At 40.6% G+C, this 22,680-nt stretch overlaps 1 non-coding gene and 2 pseudogenes across 2 annotated transcripts in view; 1 reads left to right on the forward strand and 2 right to left on the reverse strand.

Annotated features, from left to right (window-relative positions):
* Positions 1-22,680, reverse strand: part of PDXDC2P-NPIPB14P (PDXDC2P-NPIPB14P readthrough, transcribed pseudogene) — an 89,652-nt pseudogene that overhangs the window by 51,292 nt on the left and 15,680 nt on the right. The window contains exons 2-8 of the transcript NR_003610.1: positions 15,342-15,415; positions 14,763-14,828; positions 11,317-11,397; positions 8,844-8,990; positions 6,583-6,772; positions 4,312-4,380; positions 3,400-3,478 (exon numbers count right to left, since the gene is read on the reverse strand). The product of NR_003610.1 is annotated as a PDXDC2P-NPIPB14P readthrough, transcribed pseudogene (transcript). The remainder of the gene's footprint in view (positions 1-3,399; positions 3,479-4,311; positions 4,381-6,582; positions 6,773-8,843; positions 8,991-11,316; positions 11,398-14,762; positions 14,829-15,341; positions 15,416-22,680) is intronic.
* Positions 1-22,680, reverse strand: part of PDXDC2P (pyridoxal dependent decarboxylase domain containing 2, pseudogene) — a 54,947-nt pseudogene that overhangs the window by 16,587 nt on the left and 15,680 nt on the right.
* MIR1972-2 (microRNA 1972-2) lies at positions 2,758-2,834 on the forward strand. The gene has a single exon (NR_036265.1). It is a non-coding gene; the product is annotated as a microRNA 1972-2 (primary transcript).

Here is a 22,680-nt window from a genome sequence, read left to right on the forward strand (position 1 = left end):
TTATTTTTTATAGAGACAGAGTCTCACTGTCACCAAGGCTGGAGTGCAGTGGTGCGATCTCACCTCACTGCAACCTCTGCCTCCCGAGTTCACGCCATTCTCCTGCCTCAGCCTCCCAAGTAGCTGGGACTACAGGTGCCCACCACCACACCCAGCTATTTTTTTTGTATTTTTAGTGGAAATGGGATTTCACCATGTTAGCCAGGATGTCTTGATCTCCTGACCTCAGAATCTGCCCGCCTCGGCCTCCCAAAGTGCCTGGCCTGACATAATATTTTAAAGAATTTTTTTTTTTTTTTTTTTTTTTTTTTAAGAAAGGACCTCGCTCTGTCACCCAGGCTGGGGTATGGTAGCACAATCTTGGCTCACTGCAACCTCTCTCTCCTGGGTTCAAGCCAACCTCCCACCAAAGCCTCTGGAGTAGCTGGGACTACAGGTACACATCACCACACCTGGCTAATGTTTAGTATTTTTTGTAGAGATTTCCTAGGGCTTTCGCCATGTTGCCCAGGCTGGTCTCGAACACCTGAGGGCAATTGATCTCGCCGTCTCAGCCTTCTCAAGTGTTGGGATTACAAGTGTGAGCCACCTGTAATTTCTCTAGTCTAACAGACAGGTAGTAATGTCTCACGGTGATCTTAATTTGCATTTCACTAATGACTAATGATGTTAAACATCTTTTCAAGTGCTATACATTTTCATTTTCTTTGATGAAGTATCTGCTCACATCTGTTGTTCATTTAAAAAACTGTATTGTGGGCCGGGCACAGTGGCTCACACCTGTAATCCCGGCACTTTGGGAGGCCAAGGCAGGCAGATCACCTAAGGTCAGGAGTTCAAGACCAGCCTGGCCAACACGGTGAAACTCCATCTCTACTAAAAATACAAAAAAACTAGCTAGGTGTGGTGGCGCATGCCTGTAATCCCAGATACTCGGGAGGCTAAGGCAGAAGAATCACTGGAACCCGGGAGGCAGAGGTTGCAGTGAGCCAAGATCGCACCACTGCACTCTAGTCTGGGCAACAGAATAAGACTCCATCTCAAAAAAAAAAAAAAAAATTGTATTGCTCGTGTCCTTATTGAGTTGTAACAGTTCTTTATATATTTTAGATACAAGTTCTTTGTCAAATGTTTTGTAGCTTCTGGGGAAAAGAATGAAAAAGAAATTTTAAAAGAAGACAGGCCTGGGACAGTGGCTGGCTGGGTGTGGTGGCTCACGCCTGTAATCCCATCACTTTGGGAGGCCAAGGCAGGTGGACCACCTGAGGTCAGGAGTTTGAGACCAGCCTGGCCAACATGGCGAAATCTCGTCTCTACTAAAAATATAAAAATTAGCCTGGCATGGTGGCATGCGCCTGTAATCCCAGCTACTCAGGAGGCTGAGGCAGGCGGATCGCTTGAACCTGGGAGGCATAGGTTGCAGTGAGCCAAGGTCGCACCACTGCACTCCAGCCTGGGCAGCACAGCAAAACTCCATCTCAAAAACATAAAAAATAAAAATAGAAAAAGACAAAAAAAAAAGAAATAAGAAAAAAATGTTTTGCAAATATTTCTCCCAGTCTGCAACTTGCCTTTCACCTTCTTAATAGGGGCTTTCAAACAGCTAATGCTTTTAATTTTTGATAAAGTACAATTTATGGTTCACATATTTTGTATCCTAAGAAACGTAACCTAAGGTCACAAAGATCTACTGTATTTTCTTCGAGACATTTTATTGTCTTAGATCTATGCTTAGGTTGATGAACCATTTATAGTTAATATTTATATATACAGAGAATAAGATAAGGGTTAAGATTCAGTTTTTTTTCCATATGGATATCCAAGCTCTAAGACCACTGATGTAAAAAGATTGTCCTTTCTCCCTCGAATTACTCAGGCATCTGTAAAAACCTGAAATGTCCATATACTTCACATGAGTCTATTTCTGAATTCTCTTTTTTATTTGGTTAATCTCACACAATCTTACTTGCTGCTTTACAGAAGTCTTGAAGTATGACAAGGTAAGTCTTCCAATTTTGTTCTTTTTCAAAATTCTTTGGGCTGTTCCTAGGTCCCTTGTATTTCTATATAAACTTTAGAATTAGCTCATCAAGTTCTATAAGAAATTGTAGCCTGTTGAGATTTTAAGAGGTATCGAGTTGAATCTACAGATTAGTTTGGGAAGAACTGACTTAATACTTAGTCTTCCAACCCATGTGTATGGCATATCGTTCTTGGGTCTTCTTGAATTTCTCTCAGTATCATTCTTAGTTTTCAATGTACAGATCTTGCATATATTTTGTTAAATTTATCCATAAATTTTTCATCTTTTTTGATCCTATTATAAATGACATTTAAAATTCAATTTCCAATTCTTCTTTGCTGGTATATAAAAATCCAGAAAATGGTTTAGATTTGATCATTAGTTCCAGTAGCTTTTCTTTAGTTTTCTATCTATACAATCATGCCTACAAACAAAGTTTTATTTCTTCCTTTCTAATCTGTCAGTTTTTTTTTTACCTTATTGCACTGTCTTAGATTTCAAGTATGATGCTGAATGAGATAAGTGGAGCAGCAAGTGGTAGTTGCTCTGCCGCCTATAAGGTAGATATTTAAGTGTGACATTTTATGAATTTTCTTGTTTAATTTTTACAACAATCTTACAATGTCAGTACAATTATTTTTATTTATTGAGATGGGGTCTTGCTATGTTACCCAGGCTGGTATTGAACTTCTGGGCTTAAGCCAGCATCTTGCTTGTCTCCTGAGTAGGGCGACTATAGGCATGTGCCACCACACCTGGCTTAAATGTGTCATTTAAAAATTCAGGCCAGGCACAGTGGCTCATGCCTGTAATCCCAGCGATTTGGGAGGCTGAGGCAGGCGGACCACCTGAGGTCAGGAGTTCGAGACCAGCCTGGCCAACATAGTGAAACCCTGTCTCTACTAAAAATACAAGAAATTAGCCAGATGTGGTGGCACGCAGCTGTAATCCCAGCAATTCAGGAGGTTGAGGCAGGAGAAACACTTGAACCCGGGAGGCAGAGATTGCAGTGAGGTGAGATTGTGCTACTGCACTCCAGCCTGGGCAACAGAGTGAGACTCTGTCTCAAAAAAATAAAATAAAATTCAGTTTAGAACAGGGAAAAGAAGTACATGAAGGAGAAGATAGAGAAGCATTTACAATCTAAATGAAAAAGTATACACACACATAAAATAACTTCCAAAACAAACCAACGATTAAAGAAAAATCTAACGAGCCAACCTTACTATTACAGTTTTTGCTACAATGTGGACATGGACTATCTTAATTAAACATGTGGTACACACACATTTCTTAAGACTTTATCTTTTATAGGCTGAGGATGTAGCCTCGCTCCTATATATTCAAAATGGTAGATTCAGCATCATGCTACCTACCTGCATTTGCGACAAGCAACAGGGGCAGTCTTCCTCGCTCTATATCATCTTTAATCAGTTTCTCCAGGAAGGCAACATCCTGGAACCAAAACAAATCATTAAAAAATGAGGTGCCTAGTATAAAAGCTATAAAATGAAAAATTATGACTTGCAAAAGAAGCAGATAACTCTCAAAAGTAATGTCAAATCAATTCTTACTCTTGACAATTTTTCTGTTTTCTCTCATCATAGATGTGAAAATCAAATAGTTTTCCTTGAAGACTAGAAAAATCAGTTAAACAAGATTAAAGGTAAAAACTGTACATATGCAGGAACATTTCTTTGATTTTAAACATTTACATTTAAATGAAATGTTCTCTTAACTCTCCTAAAACAGCCATGAATGTATCTCTACTATTACTCACTGATGTACCTGAACTAGAAAATAAAACTACCTTGACAAAAGAAATAAAAAACTCTAAAATCCATCCCTTCCTTTTCCTTCTGGAATCATTAAGGAGAGATTTATCACCTGCATGTCTGAAATTAAGCAGAACTCAATTCCACGATGACAATGAAGAACCTCATTTTCAAAATCTGCCCATTCATAAATCCAGGCAACAGTGCTAACTCATTAAAAGTAGGAGCTTCAGAAGAAATTTCTGGTGCTTAATTGAGCTGCCATGTTTCTACTTAAAGCAGGCGATACAGTAATTACAAGACTCCTTAAAAGCCAGGTGCTCCTGACCTATATACCAACCAACCTTCATGGACATTCACATATTAACAGAAGCATATATTACACAATGCAAGGGTCCAAGCAATACATCAGTAAGTTACTAATTATCTGGAGGCCAGCAAAAAGAACTTCACTTGAAAGGCAGTTTCCAAACACAATCCCACATGATTTTACAAACCAAAAGTAGAACTCACCATCTGATGCTGGGATCCAAACATAGTGTTACAGGGTACACGGCACAAGCAGGGGAAGGGCAAGCCGAGCTGCAGGAAGAAACATACGACTTGACAAGAAAGCTCTCTGCACCATTCACTTCAGATTGTGAAAGGCTGTGGCTCTAAGACAAGCCACGATTATTCTTCTAAGAAATCTCTCTCCTTAGGAACTCTTAATATTATAAATTGATGTTAAAGTACATTTAGAAAGCCAAGCCGAAAAAAAAAAAGGGTGAATTTCCAAGTGCCTTATAAGAGGATATAATGTAAAATTTTCTAAATGATTCAAGTAATTATCTTTGGTATATTCTAGAATATACCAGAAACACTTTGACAAACACAGAAACAATTGGGTCGTGAGCATTTTAGTGGGGGTAATTTTGGATTCTTTCTCCAAGCATTACTGGTAAATAACACCAGCTAAAGGCATTCAAAGAACAGTATCTTATTTATGGGTTCACCCACCCCTAAAAAGTAATAAATATGGATTAGCAGATGCACATTTCTCAAGAGAAGTGAAGTCAGTGTTATGCACAGAGACAGTGATTGTCAACTTAATTTTATATTCTTCATGTTTAGCCTCCAAGTCCTTGAGGAGTTTACAGTTTTAGGAATTGTAAACAGTTGCAGCATATTGTTCTGTATGACTAAGACTCGGTAGCATTCAGAGACCAAAAATTTAATAAGCACATTTTCTCCTTAAAGGATTAAAAATTATGAACGTGACACCCAAGTAAAACAAATCCTCAAAAAAAAACACAGGTATTAGAAGTGAAAATGCCTAGCCCCCTACCCTATAAGCCACCAATCCACCCCGTTAACAGTTTAATACATAACCTTTCAGATATTTTCTAGGTATAAATTTACGTATTTTTCTAGGTACAAAAACATAGGTATAAAGGATACACACACTTTAAAAAATGTGAACATAACCATCTTATATATGCTGCTCTGCCTGCTGCCATTCCCAACAGAACACTCTTACACATCTTTTGAAGGTTAGACTGTTGTCCCCAAACAGCCTTGTGTCCGCAAGAGCCTGGCATGCAGTAGACACTAAGTAATTCATTTCACGTTTCAGAGGATTATTATTAAACTCCCCATTTTGTACACCCCTCAAGAAGAGGACATAATTTCTTAACACCAGTGATCACAGCTCAGAATCAATTTAAAAGTCACTAAGTGTCTCCCATACATCCCCCTGGGACTCCTACAGCTTACAAAAGAGGAATCCTCCAACCCTACGGTTTTGCTTTTAAACGTTCTTGGCAAAGACGGTTAACAGTGTCTTATCTCGATGTAGTCCTCCCAGTTGGGCTAGAAGCACCATGAACTTTAAAAATAGTCATGCTCGGCTGGGCGCGGTGGCTCACGCCTGTAATCCCAGCACTTTGGGAGGCTGAGGTGGGCAGATCACGAGGTCAGGAGATCGACACCATCCTGGCTAACACGGTGAAACCCATCTCTACTAAAAAAAATACAAAAAAATTAGCTGCGCGTGGTGGCGGGCACCTGTAGTCCTAGCTACTTGGGAGGCTGAGGCAGGAGAATGGCATGAATCCGGGAGGTAGGGCTTGCAGTGAGCCGAGATCACGCCACTGCACTCCAGCCTGGGCGACAGAGCAAGACTCTGTCTCAAAAAAAACAAAAAACAAACAAAAAACAAAAAAAAAATAGTCATGCTCTTTGATCCAGCAATTCTAGACTGACTCTGAAAATCCATCTGAGGACCATAACCCTAAATAAAATACAGGAAGAGCTTTATGCACAGAGAAGTCCTTAACAGCACTACACAAAGAACATTACGTGAAAATGGTCACAGAAAGCAAGAGAATGCAAACACTCTTAGTTGTCCAAAAAGGCAACAGTTAATTACTATATATTCACTTGAAGAAATACCATGAAGGCATTAAAAATAAACTATACGTTGAAAAATTATTATTAAAATGATATATTCCTGTTTTAACAGTAAGTGAAAAGAGCCAGATACAACCATATAAACACAAACACACCCCCTTCGATTAAAGTCTGGGAAAAAAGAGAAAATGTTGACTGTGGATGCCCTTGGGTAATCTATCACATATTCCTTATTTCTAAATTCAGTAATTTTTACAAATATGACAAAAGCATATAAGACCATCTTTCTTTTCACTCAACAAGAACAGCAACTAGACAAACGGGTCAACTTTAAAACTTTCAGAACAAAATAAAACATTATTTCTTTAAAATAGCCACCTGATACCACATTACCTGATTACAAAGGTATTGGCCCAGGCCAGGTCTAGCAGCAGCACTAAGATATATGACAGGCTTCTTGTTATATAACCCACTGAAGCCATCCACTACGAAGTCTTCATATTGAGAATGAATGGCAAGCCTACATATCTTTGCAAGTCCTTCTCTTTCCTCTTCGTGGAAATAAGCACACCCATTTTCATATCTGTTAAGAGATACATATTAATATGCTCTTATTTCTAGTTAAGGATTGTATAAGTCAACCTTACAATCATGGAGACAATTCTTTTCTCAAGCTAGGAATTGTCACTTTTATCAGGCAGAGAGGACAGGAATGTGAAACATCCTCATCATAGATGGCTGACACCTCATTACAGCTGAGGTTACCAAGCAGCGAGACAATAACCCTCCATCCATACCCAATTCCATAAAGAGCAGAAACTATGAAAACAAGTAGAGACCAGGAATTCTCAGATATAAAAAGCCTGAAGATCATGGTTCTAGCTTATTATGAACTAAGGCCAGCACTGGATAACACAGGCATAGTTCATAGCAGAGTTTCAGCCCTAAAACATCCAAAGTAAATAAAACTGTCAAAAATGCTAGTCAGAGGCTGGGTGTGGTGGCTCACGCCTGTAATCTCAGCACTTTGGGAGGCCAAGGCGGGTGGATCACCTGACGTCAGGAGTTTTGAGCCTAGCCTAGCTAACATGGTGAAACAACTGTCTCTACTAATTGCCAGGTGTGGTGGTGAGTGCCTGTAGTCCCAGCTACTCGGGAGACTGAGGCAGGAGAAGCACTTGAACCCAGGAGGTGGAGGGTGCAGTGAGCCGAGATTGTGCCACTGCACTCCAGCCTGGGCGACAGAGTAAGACTCCATCTCAAAAAAATAAAAAAGCTAGTCAGGCTAGCTTTTGGTTTTACTATAATCTGCTGAGGCTCCATCTCCTAGAGGAGGAGGGACAATTTCAATTACAGGCAATAGATTTTTACTAGAACAACAGAACACTGCTCCTTTAATAAAGTTGGGCAAACTTATACTCCTGCTTGGCCAAGTTCTTTCCCAACACTGAAAGTGAGGGTCTCTCAAGATAAATGTCTCAAGTTAGGCAAACATTCCTTCTCCATAAAAGTAACAGCATAAACCCAATGCCACTAGTCCTATGTCTCCTACTGAATCCTTCATCTGTTGTAATTCCTTAGTACTGCCAGGATTATCACAGAATAAAACAAATTTCAGTTTCATAGCACATATTCATCTTCCTTATGACAGAGTTTTCTTTTCTTTTCTTTCTTTTTTTTTTTTTGAGACAGAGTCTCGCTCTGTTGCCCAGGCTAGAGTGCAGTGCCTCAGCCTCCAGAGGAGCTGGGACTACAGGTGCTCACTACCACGCCCGGCTAATCTTTTTGTATTTTTAGTAGAGACAGGGTTTCACCATGTTAGCCAGAATGGTCTTGATCTCCTCACCTTGTGATCCGCCCACCTCAGCCTCCCAAAGTGCTGGGATTACAGGCGTGAGCCACCGCGCCTGGCCTCAGAGTTTTCTTTCTAATAAAACGCAAGCTAATATTTTCAAAGCACAGCTGGCCCTCTGAACCTGTGGGTTCTGCATCTGTGGATTAAACCAAGCATGAGTAAAAAATCTTCAGAAATTTAAAAAGATGGGTGCCTCTGTACTGAATATCTACAGACTTTTTTGCTTGTCATTATTCCCTAAACAATACAGTGTAACAACTATTTACACAGCATTTACATCGTATTAGGTATTATATGTAATCAAGAGATTAAAGTATATGGGAAGATGTGCCTCAGTTACATGAAAATACTGTGCTATTTTATATAAGGGATTTGAGCATCCATGAATTTTTTTATCCATAGGGTGAGGATGGGAGGTCAAGAACCAATCCCCCAAGGACACCCAAGGATAAGGGACAACTGTATTTGAATCTAGATCATTGCTCTATCTTCTACTGACATGTGCCAATTAGATACCCCACAAATAAATAACTGCTGACCCTATCAAACACATATGTGCTTCTATTCTCCACCCTTCACATGCGTTAGTCCATTAGCTCATTTAATCCTCACAACGCTTCTATGAAATAGGTATTAATACTATCCCCATCTAACAGATGATGAAACAGACATTGAGAGGTTAAACACCCCTTTCAAGGAGAAGGAAATCTGAACCCAAGTAGTACAGCTCCAGAAAAAAGATCTTTCAGTCTATACCCGACTCATAAAAGTCTTCACTGGAAACTCATCATGTCTTTACCTGAAAATTCTGCATAGCCATAAGGTGGTATCTGAAAGTATCCTAGTTGTAAGTTTTCTCAGCTTCTCTTCGTCCAGAGTCAAAATATAAGCTCCCAGACTATGTCCCAACACAGCCACATGACCTTGTTCTCCAATATTTTGGATTCTGTTAAGCAAAATTAAAGTATTAGAGTCAAACCATAAAAAAGGACATAGAACTTAGAGACACAGAATTCCACAGAAATATCTGTCAGACTCGAAATCTACTTAATGGCCCAGAAGGCAAATCAATGCATAAACAGTAGTGATAGTTTGGTGAGAAGTTTTTCTATTTTTTGAGACGGAGAAAAAATATATATATTTTTTCTGAGATGGAGTCTCCCTCTTGATGCCCAGGCTGGGGTGCAGTGGTGTGATCTCAGCTCACTACAACCTCCACCTCCTGGGTTCACGTGATTCTCCTGTCTCAGCCTCCCGAGTAGCTGGAATTACAGGCGCCCACCACCAAGCCTGGCTAATTTTTTGTATTTTTAGTTGAGACGGGGTTTCACCATGTTGGCCAGGCTGCTCTTGAACTCCTGACTTCAGGTGATTCACCTGCCTCGGCCTCCCAAAGTGCTGGGATTACAGGCATGAGCCACCACTCCTGGCCAGAAAAATATTTTTATAATTTGAGTTCCAGGAGATAAATAGCCCTTTTTAAATTGAGTACCTACAGTTTTAAAATAATTTCCTATTAAAGTATTTTAAAAATTAAATACCAGCCTTAAGAATTGTGGAGGGTAGAGCTAAGGTAAAATGAGCTGAAAGCATTTTTTAAAGAAATCCTGGCCAGGCGCAGTGGCTCATGCCTGTAATCCCAGCACTTTGGGAGGCCGAGGCGGGCGGATCACGAGGTCAGGAGATTGAGACCATCCTGGCTAACATGGTGAAACCCCATCTCTACTAAAAATACAAAAAATTAGCTGGGCCTGGTGGTGGGCACCTGTAATCCCAGCTACTCAGGAGGCTGAGGCAGGAGAATGGAGTGAACCCGGGAGGCGGAGCTTGAAGTGAGCCGAAATGGCACCACTGCACTCCAGCCTGGGCAACAGAGTAAGACTCCATCTCAAAAAAAAAAAAAAAAAAAAAAGAATTAAATCTCAGGTCTATGCATCAAATAAGAATTATTTATTGCAATAATACAGCAAATTCATGGGGGACTAGGTATTATTTTATATATAATTAAAATTGATTATATAAAATGTTTTATATAGAATTAAAACTAATTTCCCTTATAAAGAATAACTGTAAAAAAGAAGGAATAAGTTTAAAATTGTTAACTGTGAATAATAAGAAAAAGACAAATAACCTAATAGGATCATGGGCAACAGACAGTTCCTAGAAATATAAATGGGTCTTAAAACATACAAAAAGACACGTCACTTGGTTCATAATTTAAAAAACCTGCAAATTCGAATTATGCTGAAACACCATTTCTCACTTATCAGATTTCTCATCAGAATATCACTTATCAATGATCCTTCAGTCTGATAACGCCTTTGCAGGTGAAAAGTGTGGAAATAAAGTACTCTCATACATTGCTGGTGGGACTGCTAAATGCCGCAACTCCATGGAGGGAAATTTGGCAGGATCTATCAAAATTACAAAAGCACACACTGTCTGAGACAGCAACTCCACTTTCAGGACTTTGTCCTCCAGACACCTGCTTCTATGAGAAGTGACACATGTCGAAAGTTGTTTGCTGCAGCAATGTTTGTAACAGTGCAGCATGACAGGGGACCAATAAAATAAAATATGGTTCATCTGTTCAAAGTAAAACACATAGCTCTGACAAAGGAGAAAGTTCCTGTGCATTAATATGCAGTGAACTCCAAGACATAAGTGAAAAAATGCAAGATGCACAGCATATGCGTAGTAATTATGTATTAGAGAGGGTGGGCATAGACATTTTGCTGGTGTATAATACATATAAAATCTCTCTGGAAGAATACACAAGAAACTGGTAATGTCTGTCTCTAGAGAAGAAAACACGGTAGGGAGATAGAGGTAGGAAGGAAAATTCCCTTTGTATATCGTTTTTTATTGTCTGAATTTTGAACCAAGAGAACAATTTTACTTATTTCAAAACATTAAATTTAAAATAATTAAAGAGAAAACTAACTAAATACCTAATGAATACAAGTACAGCAATTCTTAGGAAGCAGAAGCACAGCAGCAGAAAGACATGCGACACTCACTCTTCAGTCCTTCTGCCAGCGCCTCTCTAAGGCATGATACCATAAAAACTATGGGATCTAATTTCAATAAATGCCTTCATTTCACAAAATATATATTAATATAAATGTCTTTCTGAAAATAAAAAGGATTGCTTTAATATCATATGTAACTCAATGAAATATAGCTTCTTATTTGAGCAACTTGTCAGAGCGCAATCACTACTGAAATCAAGAACACATGCACTTGAAAAGAGAAGCTGCCAGGTTCATTACCTGGGGCTCTGGGGCTCCTCATCTTCATCTCCATGCATCAGATTCTGAACTAACTGGAGGATGCTCACCATATCTTGTCCACTGCAGAATGAAAAGAGTTGATGGGCTGATGGGAACAGCACACATCCCCCGCCACTCTCCCGCTACTTCCCTCATTCAACTGGCGTTGCTTCAAGTTTTTTTTTTTCTTAAGCAACTATAAGAGAAAGAACGTGGTATATAGTTTATGCTTTTTAAAAAACAAAGCTCAAATTATAAAATGAATTCTGATATAAACTTACTTGTGGTTAAATAAATCTTCTACCTAATTATGAGTTTCATTTTAATAAATGTCACCAGTCTTTTTATTTTTATTTATTTTTTTGAGACAGGGTCTCACTTTGTCACCCAAGGTGGAGGGAAGTGGCATAATCTGGGCTCACTGCAACCTCTGCCTCCCGGGTGTAAGCGATCCTCCTGCCTCAGCCTCCTGAGTAGCTGAGATTACAAGCGTGCGCCACCACGCTCGGCTAATTTTTGTATTTTTAGTAGAGATGGGGTTTCACCATGTTGGCCAGACTGGTCTTCAACTCCTGGCTTCAAGTGATCCACCCTCCTCGGCCTCCCAAAGTGCTGGGATTACAGGCATGAGCCACCACGCCCAGCCATTTTTTTATTTTTGGTAGAAACAGGGTTTTGCCATGTTGCCCAGCCTGGTCTCAAACCACCAAGCTCAAGCAATCCTCCTGCCTCAGCCTCCAAAAGTGCTGGGATTACAGGCCTGAGCCACCTTGCCCAGCCACCAGTCTTGCTCTAGCAACATTTCTACACATTTCATTTGAATCTTGGAGTACAAGACAGAGAATATTTAATAAGCATGTAATAAGAGCCAAAAGTCCTTATAATATGTACTTATAATATATAAGTGTATTATATACTATACATTATATAAAATATATTATATAAAATACAATATATAATCATCCTTAGTATAGTATAATGCTAGACAGTCACAGAACACTCCAATGCCACTGGTATATCTAATTTTCCTCCATAGGGATCTTGTCCGTTTGGACTAACAGCCTCTAACAATGCAAGCTTCATTTATTACCAGCTCTTCCCCAAGCTGGGAACCTTGAGATCTGCTTAGAGTATAAAAACATTTTACTTCTATCCAAGATACGCTGCTATGAAATGCTCATTACATGAGGAGATGGAAAGTTATGAAAAGAATTCGAACGGCTGAAGTAGCAAGCAATGGCAAGGCAACTTGCAACAGGAATAACGCAGGGCTATTCGTCTGTTAATGAGAATAGACTAAAAAGAGGTTTCCTCTTTCAACAAAGGAAGCGCCATCAAAACAGTGTCCCCAAACCAATTGTCCCCAAGGTGCTGCCCTTCAAGTGAGAGGGGCTCTGGGCCTTGGACACTGTAGAGATCGGAGCAGGCAGGGGCCCTTGAGGCACACTGGCTGCCTGCCACATGACCTCGAGCAAGCTATTCCAACTTGCCAAGCCGGACGTTATGGATTTGGGAGGCTTCAGACAGTGAAGGTATGGCACTTAGCTGTGCCTGGCATGTTACTAGTCTTGAATGCTGGGTGGTAGCACTCCTAAGTGTGAATCCTCCTAGTGAGTGGCTTAAGGCTGAGAATTACAGATGCTGCTGGGAGTATCTCTCCTGGGAAAACTTCCGTGGAATTAGGAGACTAAACCTTAAAACCTTTGGTTTCCATCAGTAGGGCTGGAATGAGGAGATTTTATAGGACCCGCCTCCTGTTCTGAGCTGAGAATGCACTTCACACCTAGCTTCACATCAGCATTATTCATGCTACGAATAGGAGTGACTGTTTTAAAGTATTAGTATCTCGGCGTGTTATTGGCACACTGTGATCCTTCCTCCATACTTTTCTTTTGCAACCTGGTTCAATCTATATTCAGGTCAAAGGATATTTAAGGGAGTTGTACTGTTTACTTATGTGCAGTTTCCTGGTTATAACAGGAAAAAAAAATAAGTTTGTCTCAGGGAAGCTGGGCTGGGATACTAATCCCAGATTAACTGCTAATGTCTTGTGAAAATTTTAGTCAGCTACTTACTTTTTTGCTATTTTTCCTGCTACTCAAACATGACAGATTTGCTTCAGTTGCCAAAAAATAAGTAATTTGACATTTTCCTTTCATTTACATTATGAAAACAATAAATCTTATCAAATTAAAATACCTCTTAGAATAAAACTCAGTCTACCAAATAGATGACAGGTTTCAAGAGTGAACTAAGTATGACACACCAGTTATAATGATGAATTTGTATATCACTTTTATTTTATTTGACAGGGTCTCGCCATGTTGTTCAGGGTGGCCTCGAACTCCTTGACTCAAGCCATCCTCCTGCCTCAGGCTCCCAAGCAGCTGGGACTACAGGTGTGCACCATGGTGCCTAGCTCCATGTATCACTTTTGAGTCATGAGGTTGTATTAAATTGTTGGTTTTCTAAAAAATTTTTGGCCAGGTGCGGTGGCTTATGCCTGTAGTCCCAGCACTTTGAGAGGCTAAGGCAGGCGGATCACCTGAGGTCAGGAGATGGAGACCGTCCTGGCCAACATGTTGAAACCCCATCTCTACTAAAAATACAAAAATTAGCTGGGCGTGGTGGTGGGTGCCTATAATCCCAGCCACTCGGGAGGCTGAGGCAGGAGAATCACTTGAACCCGGGAGGCAGAGGTTGCAGTGAGCCGAGATCACACCACTGCACTCCAGCCTGGCGACAGAGCGAGACTCTGTCTCAAAATTAGAGAGTGTCTCTATCACTCAGGCTGGAATGCAGTGGTACAATCACAGATCGCTGTAACCTTGAACTCCTGGGCTCAAGTGATCCTCCGTCCTTGGCCTCCCAAAGTGCTGGGATTAAAGGTGTGACCCACTGTACTCAGCCTCTATTAAATTCCAAATGGGAGAGGGAGAGAAGCCAGCAGGTGCGGCAATATCACCAACCAGCCAACGACACTTCAGTTTTCTAATGTTATACTGCACATAAGTCTATTTAAATTTGCTATGTGTTCATTAAAACTAAAACCATAAATCAATGATGATAAGACACTGGTTTAAGAAAAATGTAGGCCGGGCACAGTGGCTCACACCTGTAATCCCAGCATTTTGGGAGGCTGAGGTGGGCAGATCACCTGAGGTCAAGGTCAGGAGTTAGAAACCAGCCTGGCCAACATGGCAAAATCCCATCTCTACTGAAAATACAAAAATTAGCCAGATATGGTGGTGCACGCCTGTAATCCCAGCTACTCGGGAGGCTGAGGCACAACAAAGAACTGCTTGAACCCGGGAGGCGGAGGTTGCAGTGAGCCCAGATTGCGCCACTGCACTCCATCCTGGGCAACAGAGCACGACTCCGTCTCAGAAACAAACAAACAAAAATTTACACCTTAACTAAAGGTATGGATCCTCAGTGCCACCTACCTGCCCTGGAGTGGGCCTGGAATATCTCTGGATATGAGCTTCTTTCCATTTTCCTCTTCTGTTCTTCTAATTTAAAGAAAAGAAAAAGCTGTTCATTTGTTTCATCATACCAAATTTCTAACGCCTGAACATGCAAACATGACCATGTTGCCTATAACCTCCCAGTGACTGAGGCAGGATTTCAAACACATTTATCACATCTCCCTGCCTCCAGTTTCAGGTATCGTTTGAATTTCTGGAAAAGACAAGAATATGCAACAAAAAAGTTCCACCCACTTCTTGTTTACTTGGTGCTCTATATGACCTGAATATATAATAAGTATTTATAGAGTCAAATCAATATATTAAGTAAATGAAACTCTTAATAGACAGAATTAAATAGTATAAGTCTTTCCTCTCAATTTCAAAATCCTTTAATTACAAGGCACCTTTTACCCAAGACAAACACCAATTTTCAAGTCAGCCGAAGCTGTGTGTGACACTGTGAAGCCAAGAGGCACCTTTAACAGAAAGAACCCAGAGCCACTGGCTTCACAGCAGGCTGAACTCGTTGAACAGGGTCACCTCTGTCCTACTCACCTCTGACTGTCCTCCAGCATCTTCACTGCCTCCTTCAAGTTTTTTCCCATTTCAGCTAACGTGGGGTCTGCTATCTGGGGAAAAAAAAAAAAAAGAAAGAAATTTTAATAATCCTCTATTACCTCTACAACACAATTCACCCAGAAAAATTAAGTGCATAATTTCTTCTGGATTTACTGTGAAGTACATGATTTTAAAACCTGCAATAGTACAAAAGTATAACAGAAAAAGTAAAAGTCTTCCAGCCCCACTTCCTAGAGGAAGCTGCTGTTTTTATTTTTATTTTTTGAGATGGAGTCTTACTCTGTTGCCCAGACTAGAGTGCAATGGCATGACCTTGTTCACTGCAACCTCTGCCTCCTGGGTTCAAGTGATTCTCTTGCCTCAGCCTCCCAAGTAGCTGGGATTACAGGCACACACCACCATGCCCAGCTAATTTTTATATTTTTAGTAGAGACGGGGGGTTTCACCATGTTGGCCATGCTAGTCTCGAACTCTTGACCTCAAGTGATCTGGCCACCTTAGCTTCCCAAAGTGCTGGGATTGCAGGTGTGAGCCACCGTGCCTGGCCTCCTTAAGTTCCTTTTGAATTTTAGTGCCATGTGTACACCTATCTCCCATCCAAAAAGTAAACAAAATAGAATTTAAATTTTTCTGCAGAATTATAATTTTTTCACCATTCATTCTGGGAAGAACCACGTGAGGCCAAAACCAAGGACCCTACCCTTCTTCACTTGGTACCACCTTCCCACTTGACAAGTTACAAGTCCCATGGGGGTAACCACAAGGTCCCCTCAGCCTGGCCATTGTACACAGCCCCAGGGTACCGGCAACGCATGACCTACACTCCAAGGCAACTGGACAACTTGGTCTTTGGTAAGATCACTTATGATAACAAAGTGAGTCAGCTTCGCTTCAGACAAGCAATGTGGCAGTGATACAAAGACATGCTATTTTGACAAATATTATTTTTGAGACAGTCGCTCTGTTACACAGACTGGGGTACAGTGGTTTGATCGTGGCTCACTGCAGCCTTGACCTCCAGGGATCAAGTGATCCTCCCACCTCAGCCTCCTGAGTACCTGGGAATACAAGTGCTCGCCACCATGCCTTGCTAATTTTCACAATTTTTTTGTAGATACAAGGGTCTCATTATGCCGCATAGGCTGGTCTCAAACTCCTGAGCTCAAGTTATCCTTCTGCTGGGATTACAGGCTGAGCCACTGTGCCCGAACTTTTTGCAGAATTAAAACATACACATTCATTTTCCTTTCTCTATTCTTAATCTCTGTAGTTATTTTTAGGGAGAAAATTCTTGTTGACTTCAATCTCTATGTAGTATGAGTTGTGTTATAACAATAAATTATATATATTACATATAATACATATAATATCATATATAAGTTATAGCTCTTTTGTTCCCCTCTTACTCTTCTAAGTGTGCTGCTTAAAGGAAGAGCTGTGTTTACCTTTTCCTATTGCTCACTGTATCTAGCAATATCTTACAGCATGGCATACAATACGTACATATTTAAAACTGCATTGCCTCCTCAAAATTGTTTTTAAGAAATTCCACTCCATTTATCAACATAAGATTCAGAAATTGTTACATTCTAGAAGGGACCTAAGGGATCTAGTCCAGGGATTTTCCAGCTGTGTTCTCCTGAGCCTTAAGGTCCCTGGGAGGACTCTGAGAAGGAAGGGTTAGGTAAGCAGTTGGGGCTTCTAACTCCCTAGCAGATCAGCTCTGTTTTGTATAACAGGGTTTTGAGTAAAGTTTTTATTTGTAAAAAGTTTCACTGAATGATAAAGGGGATATCACCACCGATCCCACAGAAATACAAACTACCGTCACAGAATACTATAAACACCTCTATGCAAATAAACTAGAAAATCTAGAAGAAATGGATAAATTCCTCGACACATACACCCTCCCAAGACTAAACCAGAAAGAAGTTGAATCTCTGAATAGACCAATAACAGGCTCTGAAATTGTGGCAATAATTAAGAGCTTACCAACCAAAAAAAATCCGGGACCAGATGGATTCACAGCCGAATTCTACCAGAGGTAAAAGGAGGAGCTGGTACCATTCCTTCTGAAACTATTCCAATCAATAGAAAAAGAGGGAATCCTCCCTAACTCATTTTATGAGGCCAGCATTATTCTGATACCAAAGCCCGGCAGAGACACAACAAAAAAAGAGAATTTTAGACCAATATCCGTGATGAACATCGATGCAAAAATCCTCAATAAAACACTGGCAAACCGAATCCAGCAGCACATGAAAAAGCTTATCCACCATGATCAAGTGGGCTTCATCCCTGGGATGCAAGGCTGGTTCAACATACGCAAATCAATAAATGTAATCCAGCATATAAACAGAACCAACAACAAAAACCATACGATTATCTCAATAGATGCAGAAAGCCCTTTGACAAAATTCAACAACCCTTCATGCTAAAAACTCTCAATAAATTGGGTATTGATGGACCGTATCTCAAAATAATAAGAGCTATTTATGACAAACCCACAGCCAATATCATACTGAATGGGCAAAAACTGGAAGCATTCCCTTTGAAAACTGGCACAAGACAGGAATGCCCTCTCTCACCACTCCTATTCAACACAGTGTTGGAAGTTCTGGCCAGGGCAATGAGGCAGGAGAAGGAAATAAAGGGTATTCAATTAGGAAAAGAGGAAGTCAAATTGTCCCTGTTTGCAGATGACATGATTGTATATCTAGAAAACCCCATCGTCTCAGCCCAAAATCTCCTTAAACTGATAGGCAACTTCAGCAAAGTCTCAGGATACAGAATCAATGTACAAAAATCACAAGCATTCTTATACACCAATAACAGACAAACAGAGAGCCAAATCATGAGTGAACTCCCATTCACAATTGCTTCAAAGAGAATAAAATACCTAGGAATCCAACTTACAAGGAAAACTACAAACCACTGCTCAATGAAATAAAAGAGGATACAAACAAATGGAAGAACTTTCCATGCTCATGGGTAGGAAGAATCAATATCGTGAAAACGGCCACACTGCCCAAGGTAATTTATAGATTCAATGCCATCCCCATCAAGCTACCAATGGCTTTCTTCACAGAATTGGAAAAAACTACTTTAAAGTTCATATGGAACCAAAAAAGAGCCCACATTGCCAAGTCACTCCTAAGCCAGAAAAACAAAGCTGGAGGCATCACGCTACCTGGCTTCAAACTATACTACAAGGCTACAGTAACCAAAACAGCATGGTACTGGTACCAATACAGAGATATAGACCAATGGAACAGAATAGAGCCCTCAGAAATAATGCTGCATATCTACAACTATCTGATCTTTGACAAACCTGACAAAAACAAGAAATGGGGAAAGGATTCCCTATTTAATAAATGGTGCTGGGAAAACTGGCTAGCCATATGTAGAAAGCTGAAACTGGATCCCTTCCTTACATCTTATACAAAAATTAATTCAAGATGGATTAAAGACTTAAACGTTAGACCTAAAACCATAAAAACCCTAGAAGAAAACCTAGGCAATACTATTCAGGACACAGGCATGGGCAAGGACTTCATGTCTAAAACACCAAAAGCAATGGCAACAAAAGCCAAAATTGACAAATGGGATCTCATTAAACTAAAGAGCTTCTGCACAGCAAAAGAAACCACCATCAGAGTGAACAGGCAACCTACAGAATGGGAGAAAATTTTTGCAGTCTACTCACCTGACAAAGGGCTAATAGACAGAATCTACAATGAACTCAAACAAATTTACAAGAAAAAAAACAACCCCATCAAAAAGTGGGCGAAGGATATGAACAGACACTTCTCAAAAGAAGACATTTATGCAGCCAAAAGACACATGAAAAAATGCTCATCATCACTGGCCATCAGAGAATGCAAATCAAAACCACAATGAGATACCATCTCACGCCAGTTAGAATGGCAATCATTAAAAAGTCAGGAAACAACAGGTGCTGGAGAGGATGTGGAGAAATAGGAACACTTTTACACTGTTGGGACGCTAAACTAGTTCAACCATTGTGGAAGTCAGTGTGGCGATTCCTCAGGGATCTAGAACTAGAAATACCATTTGATGCAGCCATCCCATTACTGGGTATATACCCAAAGGATTATAAATCATGCCGCTATAAAGACACATGCACACGTATGTTTATTGTGGCACTATTCACAATAGCAAAGACTTGGAACCAACCCAAATGTCCATCAATGATAGACTGGATTAAGAAAATGTGGCACATATACACCATGGAATACTATGCAGCCACAAAAAATGGTGAGTTCATGTCCTTTGTAGGGACATGGATGAAGCTTGAAGCCATCATTTTCAGCAAACTGTCTCAAGGACAAAACAACAAACACCACATGTTCTCACTCATAGGTGGGAATTGAACAATGAGACTACATGGACACAGGAAGGGGAACATCATACACTGTTGCTTGTTGTGGGGTGGGGGGAGGGAGGAGGGATAGCATTAGGAGATATACCTAACGTTAAATGAAGAGTTAATGGGTGTGGCACACCAACATGGCACATGTATACATATGTAACAAACCTGCACGTTGTGCACACGTACCCTAAAACTTAAAAAGTATAATTAAAAAAAATTTTTTTTTTAAATTAAAAAAAAAAAAGTGTCATTGAAAAGAAGAAAAAAATTCTTTGGGAGGCCAAGGCAGAAGAATCACTTGAGGCCAGGAGTTTCAGATCAGCTTGGGCAACATAGTGAGAAATAAATTAGCTGGGTGTGGTGGTGCACACCTGTAGTCCTAGCTACTTGGGAGGCAGAGGTAGGAGGATCACTTGAGCCTGGGAGTTTGAGGCTACAGTAAGCTATGATTGTGTCACTGCACTCCAGCCTGGAACAGAGTAAAACCCTGTCTCAAAAAAAAAAAAAAAAGTATAGCATAAAAACGTCTGATTCTGGTCTAACATTTTGGAGGTGAGGAAACTAAGATGCAGAGAGGTTAAGCGACTTGCCTATGGTCATGGAGCTAATAAATGACAATGAGGTGCCAAAACCTGGGGTCCCTGACTCCTGTTTCTGACCTCTATTATATCACACTGGCTCCCACAAGGGCTTACAAGGTAATCATTTAGCCACGACCAAATTTTTAGATAAAATAGACAAATTTTAAAACAAGTGTTTTCAATAAAATTCACCACTTTAACTATGAGAAGGCTCAGAAAGCACTCGAAAAAGGCCTCAGTGCTGACAGTGAGGAGAATGAGGAATATGATGGTCAAGAGAATTTATCTTCACCCCTGAGTCAGCTGGTGATGCTCCTGACGATCCTCACTGCTGTGACACTCCCATGTGTCCCCTACCACCTAGCCAAATGATAAGATAAACAGTTTGGCTTGATTCACACCTTCATGCTCCCAACGACCATCCTGTCTGAAACATCCTCATGACTTTTATCTATCTCTCTCCTAGCACCTATTCAATTACAAGTCAATAATTCCAGGAAGCCTTTACAGATAAAGCCACTTTTGCTCTTTCCCATCCCCTCTAACAATACTGATGCCTTTTTTCCTAAACCAAAAATCTAGATTTGTTGCTTAACAATGTTGGTTGTATTTATGGGGACAATGGGACAGAATGCTTGCAGTTGTTGCAGCTGCCATTTATCCTCATGATTCCTTACACCCTTTACTGTGAATTGTTTTATAGATGTGCTTTCCAGTATAAATGTGCTCTCCAATTAGATTACAAGCTTCTTGAAGGCAAGGATTCAGACTCCTACTAATTTTGACTTCTCTTTAGACCAGGGGTCTAAAGTTAGCTCAATTCTCCAATTGTCATATTAACCTGAAAATCCCTTAGGAAGGCATGCCAGAGTGGATATCAACATACTGTTCTCTAAGTGCAACACAGCTATTTCTTTCAACAGAATTATAATGAATATTTCCGTTAAGAATAGATAAAATATGCCAGGTGTGGTGGCTCATGCCTGTAATCCCAGCACTTTGAGAGGTCAAGCCAGGAGGATCAGTTGAGTCCGGGAGTTTGAGATGAGCCTGGGCAACATGGCAAAACCTCATCTCTACAAAAAATACAAAAAAATTAAGCCGGGCATGGTAGTGCATGCCTGTGGTCTCAGCTACTCAGGAGGCTGAGGCAAGAGGATTGCTTGAGCCCAGGAGGTCAAGGTTACAGTGAGACAAGATTGTACCACTGCCTGGGTGACAGAGCAACAACCTGTCTCAAAAAAAAAAACAAAAAAAAAATAGACAAAATACAGCTTAGGCAATATGACAAAACCCCATATCTGCAAAAAATACAAAAATCAGCCAGGCGTGGTGGTGCATGCCTGTAGTCCCAACTACTTGGGAGGTTTAGGTGGGATGATCACTTGAGCCTGGGAGGTTGAGGCTCTGGTGGTGAGCCATGATCACACCACTGCACTCCAGCCTGGTCAAAAGAGTGAGAACCTGTCTCGACAACAATACACACACACACATACATATCTATATACATATATATACACACAAAATAGTTTAGAAGCCGCATTGTGTGAACATGCATTTATAAACACTAAAATCCCATGTAATGACAAGCTGCTTAAACTGAAAGGCAGGAGGGAAATGCAGATTCACAATCCCCAGGTGAATCTCTGACTCTGGAGTGCACATGCAGTTTACGTAAATGTAAACTGGCTTATGTTTAAATTGTTCTTGCTGGCCGGGCGCAGTGGCTCACGCCTATAATCCCAGCACGTTGGGAGGCCGAGGTGGACGGATCACCTGAGGCCCAGGAGTTCGAGACCAGCTTGGCCAACATGGCAAAATCCCGTGTCTACTAAAAATACAAAAATTAGCTGGCCATGGTCACGTATGCCTGTAGTCCTAGGTACTTGGAAGGCTGAGGCAGGAGAATCGCTTGAACCCAGGAGGTAGAGGCTGCAGTGAGCTGAAATTGCGACACTGCACTTCAGCCTTGGCGCCAGAGCAAGACTGTCTCAAAAAATTAAATAAAAATAAATAAATCGTTCTTGCTCTTCAGGGAGTAAGCCCAGGGGGGAGTGGGTGGGTAGGAAAAGCAGCACTGATAGTTAAGTTTGGGTGAATAAATGTGAACAATGACTCCAATGCCATAGACCCTCACGTGTTTGTTGCATTAATTGGATAATTCAAAATATAAAGTATTATCCAGTTTCAGGATAATATTAAGATCTAAACCAATGAATGCTCTATGAAAAGTTGTAGATTAACTGATCCCTTAAAACTAAAAACAGCGTCTTCATAAGCTTCTACTGATGGCAGCTACCACTTTCTTCATCACATTTCTTATCCTCAATAGCTGTGGGCA

Source organism: Homo sapiens, chromosome 16 (assembly GCF_000001405.40).
Source record: "Homo sapiens chromosome 16, GRCh38.p14 Primary Assembly".
Classification (NCBI taxonomy): domain Eukaryota; kingdom Metazoa; phylum Chordata; class Mammalia; order Primates; family Hominidae; genus Homo; species Homo sapiens.